General features: G+C 40.0%; 1 long non-coding RNA gene across 1 annotated transcript in view; it reads right to left on the reverse strand.

Moving 5' to 3' along the window:
* The window catches only part of LOC101930053 (uncharacterized), a 121,382-nt gene that overhangs the window by 11,823 nt on the left and 99,382 nt on the right, over nucleotides 1-10,177 (reverse strand). The gene's annotated exons all lie outside the window — the stretch shown is intronic.

Here is a 10,177-nt window from a genome sequence, read left to right on the forward strand (position 1 = left end):
CTGATCTTGCCCAACTCCAGCTGCAAGCAGTGACCACACAAAGCCTCAGTGTTCTGCTTAAAGCTTCTCCAGACCAGGAGACAAGTATGCATATATGCACATCTGTGGAGCAAAGCCTCTGGCCTAAATCTACTCTTAATACATTCAGACACATAAGATACTAATTTCATCTTCCTGAGTAAACATTCCCTGGAGACTTCCAACCTCTTTCAATCTGGACAGATTGTCCTTACTGCTCAATTGTCCTTTCAAGAGCTGTCTTTACCATTACCCAGTGGATTCTATTTTCCCTCAATCCTGTATGAATCTTCTGTTTCCTAATCTTGTGTTCATTTTGGTGGAGTACATCTTTGATTAATTTTCTGAGAAAAAGGGCGGGTAGGTACATATTTTGAGACCTTGAATGTCTAAAAATATTTTTAACCTAACCTCATATTTGATTCATAGTTTGAGAGGGCAAATAATTTACAGGTTATTTAAATATTTTTTCAAATATTTATGGCATTTTTCCTTTGTGTTCAATTCCTATAAATGCTCATATATTTTTGTCTCATTCTTACTCCTAAGGAGTAACACTTTGGGTTCCGACAGAAAATCTGGAGTGATTACTGCAATCTCTTATCTTTGGTGAACTATAACTTTTGTCTCTTGTGACCACATGAAACTGCTAAAAACTCTGCACAGCTTCTCAGCCTCTCAGCTACTTATCTGTACTTAGGTTTTCAACTTTTAGCTACCATTTTCTTTTTTTTTTTTTTTTAATTACACTTTAAGTTCTGGGATACATGTACAGAATGTGCAGGTTTGTTACATAGGTATACATGTGCCATGGTGGTTTGCTGCACCCATAAACCCGTCATCTACATTAAGTATTTATCCTAATGTTATCCCTCCCTTAGCCCCTCACCCTCTGACAGGCCCCAGTGTGTGATTTTCCTCTCCCTATGTACATATGTTCTCATTGTTCAACTCCCACTTATGAGTGAGAACAGGTAGTGTTTGGTTTTCTGTTCTTGTGTTAGTTTGCTGAGAATGATGGTTTCCAGCTTCATCCATGTCCCTGCAAAGGACATGAAATCATCCTTTTTTATGGTTGCATAGTATTCCATGGCATATGTGTGCCACATTTTCTTTATCCATCTAACATTGATGGGCATTTGGATTGGTTCCAAGTGTTTGCTATTGTGAATAGTACTGCAATAAACATGCATGTGCATGTGTCTTTATAGTAGAATGATTTATAATCCTTTGGGTATATACCCAGTAATGGGATGCTAGGTCAAATGGTATTTCTGGTTCTAGATCTTTGAGGAATCGCCACACTGTCTTCCACGATGGTTGAACTAATTTACACACCCATCAACAACATAAAAGTGTTCCTATTTCTCCACATCCTCTCCAGCATCTGTTGCTTCCTGACTTTTTTATTATCGCCATTCTAACTGGCATGAGACGGTATCTCATTGTGGTTTTGATTTGCATTTCTCTAATGACCAGTGATGATGACCTTTTTTTCATATGTTTGTTGGCTGCATAAATGTCTTCTTTTGAAAAGTGTCTGTTGATATCCTTCACCCACCCTGTGATGGGGTTGTTTGTTTTTTTCTTGTAAATTTGTTTAAGTTCTTTATAGATTCTTGATATTAGCCCTTTGTCAGATGGATAGATTGCAAAAATTTTCTCCCATTCTATAGGTTGTCTGTTGACTTGGATGATAGTCTCTTTTGCTGTGCAGAAGTTCTTTAGTTTAATTAGATCCCATTTGTCAACTTTGGCTTTTGTTGCCATTGCTTTTGGTGTTTTAGACATGAAGTCTCTGCCCATGCCTATGTCCCGAAAGGTATTGCCTAGGTTTTCTTCTAGGGTTTTTATGGTTTTAGGTATTACATTTAAATATTTAATCCATTCTGAGTTAATATTTGTATAAGGTGTAAGGAAGCAGTCTAGTTTCATTTTTCTGCATATGGCTAGCCAGTTTTCCCAACACCATTTATTAAACAGGGAAACCTTTCCCCATCGCTTGCTTTTGTCAGGTTTGTCAAAGATCAAATGGTTATATATGTGTGGTGTTATTTCTGAGGCCTCTTTTCTGTTCCATTGGTCTATATATCTGTTTTGGTACCAGTACCATGCTGTTTTGGTTACTGTAGCCTTGTAGTATAGTTTCAAGTCAGGTAGCGTGATGCCTCCAGCTTTGTTCTTTTGGCTTAGGATTGCCTTGGCTATACGGGCTCTTTTTTGGTTCCATATGAAATTTAAAGTAGATTTTTCTAATTGTGTGAAGAAAGTCAATGGTAGCTGGATAGGAATAGCATTCAATCTATAAATTACTTTGGTCAGAACGTACATTTTTACAGTATTGATTCTTCCTATCCATCATCATGGAATGTTTTTCCATTTGTTTTGGTCCTCTCTTAATTCCTTGAGCAGTGGTTTGTAGTTCTCCTTCACATCCCTTGTAAGTTGTATTCCTAAGTATTTTATTCCCTTTGTAGCAATTGTGAATGGGAGTTTGCTCATGATTTGGCTCTGTGTCTATTATTGGTGTGTAGGAATGCTTGTGATTTTTGCACATTGATTTTGTATCCTGAGACTTTGCCGAAGTTGCTTCTCAGCTTAAGGAGATTTTGGGCTGAAACGATGGGGTTTTCTAAATATACAATGATGTCATCTGCAAACAGAGACAATTTGGCTTCCTCTGTTCCTATTTGAATACCTTTATTTCTTTCTCTTGCCTGATTGCCCTGGCCAGAACTTCCAATACTATGTTGAGTAGGAGTGGTGAGAGAGGGCATCCTTGCCTTATGCCGATTTTCAAAGGGAATGCTTCCAGCTTTTGCCCATTCAGTATGATATTGGCTGTGGGTTTGTCATAAATAGCTCTTATTATTTTGAGGTATATTCCATCAATACCTAGTTTATTGAGTGTTTATAGCATGAAAGAGTATTAAATTTTATCAAAAACTTTTTCTGCATCTACTGAGATAATCGTGGTTTTGGTCACTGGTTCTGTTTATGTGATAGATTACATTTATTGATTTGCGTATGTTGTACCAGCCTTATATCCCATGGATGAAGCAGACTTGATCGTGGTGGATAAGCTTTTTAATGTACTGCTGGATTCAGTTTGCCAGTATTTTACTGAGGATTTTCGCATCAATGTTCATCAGGGATATTGGCCTGAAATTTTGTTGTTGTTGTTGTGTCTCTGCCAGGTTTTGGTATCAGGATGATGCTGGCCTCATAAACTGAATTAGAGAGGATTCCCTCTTTTTCTATTGTTTGGAATAGTTTCAGAAGAAATGGTACCATCTCCTCTCTGTACCTCTGGTAAAATTCGGCTGTGAATCCATCTGGTCCCGGGCTTTTTTTTGGTTGGTAGGCTACTAACTACTGCCTCAATTTCAGAACTTGTTATTGGTCTATTCAGGGATTCAACTTCTTCCTGGTTTAGTCTTGGGAGGGTGTATGTGTCCAGGAATTTATCCATTTCTTCTAGATTTTCTAGTTTATTTGCATAGAGGTGTTTATAGTATTCTCTGATAGTAGTTTGTATTTCTGTAGGATCAGTGGTGATATCCCCTTTATCATTTTTTATTGTGTCTATTTGATTCTTCTCTCTTTTCTTCTTTATTATTCTGGCTGTTGGTCTATACACTTTGTTATTGTTTTCAAAAAACCAGCTGCTGGATTCATTGATTTTTAAAAGGGATTTCCGTGTCTGTGTCTCCTTCAGTTCTGCTCTGATATTAGTTATTTCTTGTCTTCTGCTAGCTTTTGAATTGTTTGCTCTTGCTTCTCTAGCTCTTTTAATTGTGATGTTAGGGTGTCGATTTTAGATCTTTTCTGCTTTCTCTTGTGGGCATTTAGTGCTATAAATTTCCCTCTAAACACTGCTTATCTGTGTTCCAGAGATGCTGGTACATTGTGCCTTTGTTCTCATTGGTTTCAAAAAACTTATTTGTTTCTGCCTTAAATATGTTATTTACCCAGTAGTCATTCAGGAGCAGGTTGTTCAGTTTCTATGTAGTTGTGCGGTTTTGAGTGAGTTTCTTAATCCTGAGTTCTAATTTGATTGCACTGTGGTGTGAGAGACTGTTTGTTATGATTTTCATTCTTTTTCATTTGCTGAGGAGTGTTTTATTTCCAATTATGTGGTCAATTTTAGAATAAGTGTGATGTGGTGCTGAGAAGAATGTATATTCTGTTGATTTGCGGTGGAGAGTTCTATAGATGTCTATTAGGTCCACTTGGTCCAGAGCTGAGTTGAAGTCCTGAATATCCTTGTTAATTTTCTCTCTCATTGATCTGTCTAATATTGACAGTGAGGTGTTAAAGTTTCCCACTAAGATTGTGTGGGAGTCTAAGTCTCTTTGCAGGTCTCTAAGAACTTGCTTTATGAATCTGGGTGCTCCTGTATTGGGTGCATATATATTTAGGATAGTTACCTCTTCTTGTTACATTGATCCCTTTACCATTATATAATGCCCTTCTTCGTCTTTTTTGATTTTTGTTGATTTAAAGTCTGTTTATCAGAGACTAGGATTGCAACCCCTGCTTTTTCTTCTTTCCATTTGCTTGGTAAATCTTCCTCCATCCCTTTATTTTGAGCCTATGTGTGTCTTTGCACGTGAGCTGGTTCTCCTGAATACAGCAAACCGATGGGTCTTGACTCTTTATCAAATTTGCCAGTGTGTCCCTTTTAATGGGGGCATTTAGCCCACTTACATTTAACATTAATATTGTTATACATGAATTTGATCCTGTCATTATGATGCTAGCTGGTTATTTTGCCCATTAGTTGATGCAATTTCTTCATAGTGTCGACGGTCTTTACATTTTGGTTTGTTTTTGCAGTGGCTGGTACTGGTTGTTCCTTTCTATATTTAGTACTTCCTTTAAAAGCTCTTGTAAGGCAGGCCTAGTGGTGACAAAATCTCTCAGCATTTGCTCGTCCATAAAGAATTTTATTTCCCATCACTTATGAAGCTTAGTTTGGCTGGATATCAAATTCTGGGTTGAACATTCTTTTCTTTAAGAATGTTGAATATTGGCCCCCACTTTCTTCTGGCTTGAGGGTTTCTGCAGAGAGATCCACTGTTAGTCTGATGGGCTTCCCTTTGTGGGTAACCCAACCTTTCTCTCTGGCTGTCCTTAACATTTTCTCCTTTATTTCAACCTTTGTGAATCTGTTAATTATGTCTTGGGGTTGCTTTTCCTGAATTTGAATGTTGGTCTGTCTTGCTAGGTTTGGGAAGTTCTCCTGCATAAAATCCTGAAGTGTGTTTTCCAACTTGTTTCTATTCTCCTTGTCACTTTCAGGTACACCAATCAATTGTAGGTTTGGTCTTTTCACATAGTCCTATATTTCTTGGAGGCTTTGTTCATTTCTTTTCATTCTTTTTTCTCTAATCTTGTCTTCATACTTTAAGTTGATCTTCAGTCTCTGGTATCTTCAATCGATCTACTGTTTGATCGATTTGGCTATTGATACTTGTGTATGCTTCATGAAGTTTTCGTGCTGTGTTTTTCAGTTCCATCAGGTCACTTATGTCCTTTTCTAAACTGGTTATTCTAGTTAGCAATTCCTCTAACCTTTTATCAGGATTGTTAGCTTACTTGCATTGGGTTACAACATGCTCCTTTAGCTTGAAGGAGTTTGTTATTACCCACATTCTGGAGCCTATTTCTGTCAATTCATCAAACTCATTCTCTGTCTAGTTTTGTTCCCTTGCTGGCAAAGAGTTGTGATCCTTTGGAGAAGAAGAGGCATTATGGTTTTTGGCATTTTCAGGCTTTTTGCACTGTTTTCTCCTCATCTTTGTGGATTTATCTACCTTTGGTTTTTGCTCTTGGTGACCTTTGGATGGAGTTTTTGCATGGTCATCCTTTTTGTTGATGTTGATGCTATTGCTTTCTATTGTTAGTTTTTCTCCTAGCAGTCAGGCCCCTCTTTGCAGGTCTGCTGGAGTTTTCTGGGGGTCCACTCCAGAACCTGTTTGCCTGGGTATCACCAGAAGAGGCTGCAGAATAGCAAAGATTGCTGCCTGTTCCTTCCTCTGGAAGCTTCGTCCCAGAGGTCACCCGCCAGATACCAGCTGGAGCGCTCCTGTATGAGGTGTCTGTTGACCTCTGCTGGGAGGTGTCTCCCCATCAGGAGGCATGGGGGTCAGGGACCCACTTGAGGAGGCAGTCTGTCCCTTAGCAGAGTTCAAGCACTGTGCTGGGAGAACCGCTGCTGTCTTCAGAGCTGGCAGGCAGGAATGTTTAAGTCTGCTGAAGCTCTACCCACAGCCATCCCTTCCTCCAGGTGCTCTGTCCCAGGGAGATGGGAGTTTTATCTATAAGCCCCTGACTGGGGCTGCTCCCTTTCTTTCAGAGATGCCCTGCCTAGAGAGGAGGAATCTGGAGAGCATTTTTTTTTTTTTTTGATGGAGTCTCACTCTGTCACCCACACTGGGGTGCAGTGGTGCAATCTCAGCTCACTGCAACCTCCACCTCCCAGGTCCAAGCAATTTTCCCACCTCAGCCTCCCAAGTAGCTGGGATTACAGGCACCTGCCATCATGCCTGGTTAATTTTTATATTTTCATAGAAATGGAATTTCACCATGTTGGCCAGGCTGGTCTTAAACCCCTGACCTCAGGTGATCTGCCTCCCTCAGCCTCCCAAACTGCTGGGATTATAGGCGTGAACCACTGTCCCCAGCTGAGAAGTGATCTTGAGATCTTGCCTAATCTCAGAGCTTAGCACATGGCTTTGCTCATCTACAGATTCCAAACAGCAGTATTACCTAGTGAGAGAAGACAATCTGTAACTCTGCTCAGAGGCAATCACAAAACTTAGCTAATAGCTCTGCCTAACTACAGAGTCCAGCCAGTGATCTCATCAAACTCTAGAGCACAGCCAGCATTTCCATTTGACCTCAAAGCGGTCAGCAGTACAGCCCAGCTAGAGAATCTGACAGCAAGGCCTGCCTGCCAGGACTTGCCACCAGCTGGGCCATCCAGAATCCCAGGCTAGACTAAACAGTGAAGGTTTATTGCTACTGAAGAAAATTAGCAAAGACTGGAAGAGGTAGCCATTTCTTCAAATGTGTAGACACTAGTGTAAGGTTTACAAAGATCCAGAGAAATATCACACCAAAAAAAGCAACTAATAAATCTCTAATAATGGACCCTGAATAAATGGAGATCTATAAAATGACTGACAAGGAATTTAGAATGATTATCTTAAAGAAGCTTTGTGAACTAAAAGAAAATATCGATAGAAAATTAAATACAATTTGAAAAACAATTTATGAAGAAAAGTGAGAAGTTTTAAAAAGAAACAGAATCATTTTTAAAAATCAAATAGAATCCTAGAGATAAAAAATACAACAACTGAACTAAAAAAAATTAATAGAAGCTTCAACAGCAGACTTGATTCAGCAGAAGATATTATTGTGAGCTTGAAGGCAGGACATTTGAAATTATACAATCAAAAGAGCAGAAATAATGAAAAAAAAAAGCCTATGTGAATTATGGGTCACTATCAAAAGAATGAACATTTGCTTAAGATTTTCAGAAGGAGAAAAGAGAAAACAGAGCCCAGAAAGCATATTTAAGTAAACAGTGGCTGAAATTTTCCCATATCTGGGGAAAGATGACAACATTCAGGTAAAGGAAGCTCAGAGGTCTCTAATTAAATTCAACCCAAAGGGAAGTTCACCAAGACACATCATAATTAAATTATCAAAAATCAAAGACAAAAATTCTGAAAGCAATAAGAGATAAGAAAAATATCAGATTCAAGGGAGTCTCAATACATCTATCAGCAGATTTCTCAGCAGAAATCTTGCAAGCCAGGAGAGAGTGGGATGACATATACAAAGTGCAGAAGGAAAAAAAACTACCAACTAAGATTACTTTGCCTGGAAAAGCTGTCCTTCAGAAATGAGGAAGAAATAAAAACTTTCCCAGATAAACAGAAACGATGTCAGTTCATCACCATTAGACCTGTCTTACAGGAATAGTTAAAGGGATTCCTTTAGCCTGAAACAAAAGTCCAAAGTGATATTCAGAACACTAATACTGTAAGGGTGATATATAAAGCAATTTTATCTCTATTACCAGGGTTGCAAAACAAAACTATCAAAAACAACAGTAGCTACAATAAATGGTTAAAAGATACAAATTACAAAAGTATATACATATTGACACTTAAATCATAAAAGTGGGGGAGGCAGTAAAAGTGTAGCATTTTTGTATGATTAAAGTTAAGTTGTTATCAGCCTTAAATAGCCTGTTATAAGTATAATATATTTTCTGGAAGCCTCATCGTAAACACAAAGCAAAAACCTGTAGTAGTTGCACTAAATATAAAAGGAAAGTGTTCAAAGCATAGCACCACAGAAAATAATCAAACGACAAGGGAAGACAGCAAGAGAGGAAAAGAGAAACAAAAGATCTACCAAACAACCAGAAAACAAATTACAAAATGGCAGTAGCAAGGTCTTACCTATCAATAACTACCTTGAATGTAAATAGATTAAATTTTCCAACACATTAAAATTTCCAAATTTTCCACAGAGTGGCTGAATGAATAAAAGGAAAGAACAAACTACCTATATATTGCATACAAGAGACTCACTTTACTAGCAAGAACACACATAATCTGGAAGTGAAGCAATGAAAAAAGATATTCCAACACAAATGGAAACCAAAACAGGGCAAGGGTAGCTATACTTATATAAGACTGATACTTATATCAGACCAAATAGATTTTAAGTAAAAAAACAGTAAAAAGGGACAAAGAATGCCATTATGTAATGGTAAAGGGAAAAATTCATCAAGAAGACATAAAAACTGTAAATATATACGCACCCAACATTGGAATACCTAAATATATAAAGAAATTATTAAATTATCTGAAGGTAGAGATAGGCCACAATGCAATAATAGTAGGGTATCTCAGTACCCCACTTTCAACAATTGACGGATTATCTAGACAGAAAATCAATAAGGAAACATTAGATTTGAAGTTTATCAGATTTGATACATGCCCTCAAGGCAGAAGCAGCTTCCTCCTTTCTCTTGAATCTCTCTGAGTTCTGGGCTCCCAGCTTCCCTTAGATTTGGTCCTGATAATTATTTTTCCTTTCCTCTTACCTCTTAAACATTTTCAAAAGATGTTTTCTATATTTGATCATTCATTTTTAGTTCTCAGCATTATAAAGGTTATTACAGATACCAGAAAAAGTCAAATGTATTACCAGAAAAAGAAGTCTCACTTTAACTCTTGAACGGTAATGGCGGCAGTGGCGGAGCATCTGCAGCAGCTGCTGCCATCACGCCTGCAGCAGCAGGGAGGCATGGCCAGGGCTGCACACTCCGTGGAGCTGGTGGGAGGTGGGCACAAGTGGGAGCCCCGCCCCTTCCAAGTTGGGGTGGGATGTCCCCTGGGGCCGCTGCAGCCACCCAAACCATGGCTGTAGAGCCGACCTCCCACTCCAGGGAGCAGGCAGGAGCCCTGCCCTCTGAGCGCGGCTGCAGTTGCCCAAGTCATGGATGCAGAACCAAGTCTCGCTGTGTTACTGGGGGGCCAGGAGCAGGAAGGAGCCCTGCCTTCCCAGGTACAGACGCAGCTGCCCAAACTATGGCTGCAGACCTGGACCTCCCTGCACTTTTGGGGGCCCAGAAGGTCCCCATGCCCTTGCAGGCTCAGAGGTGCCAGCTCCCACTGCCTGGCTTCTCCCTGCTGTCAGTACCTGCTCCATCAAAGCAAAGTCTGGCTCAGCCCAGGTGCCATGAACAGCAGCAGAGGCAGACAGATTCCTGGGTGGAAGGGGGCAGGTTCCCATGAAGCCCCACCTTCAGGCAAGGGAGGGCCTGAAGGCTGGGGGCTGGGCTGCCAGTCCCACCAACGGAATGGGAGCTTGTGGTGCCTTTTCTGGGCACCGGTGGCTGCTCATGGACCAATCAGTGCACACTTCCTCCCCTCTGAGGCCATATAAACCCTGGGTTCAGCCAGAGCTGAGCAGATGTCAAGATGACCAACAGCAGAGAGGAGCTACCCACTCTAAGGCCTTCTCTCTGCTGAGAGCTTCAGAAACTTGCAGAGACGTCGGGACTACCAGCTGCAGAAAGGCATAACCCACTCCAGGGCCTCCTCTCTGCTAAGAGCTAAACATTCGTCAG

This window comes from Homo sapiens, chromosome 9 (assembly GCF_000001405.40).
Source record: "Homo sapiens chromosome 9, GRCh38.p14 Primary Assembly".
Taxonomy (NCBI): domain Eukaryota; kingdom Metazoa; phylum Chordata; class Mammalia; order Primates; family Hominidae; genus Homo; species Homo sapiens.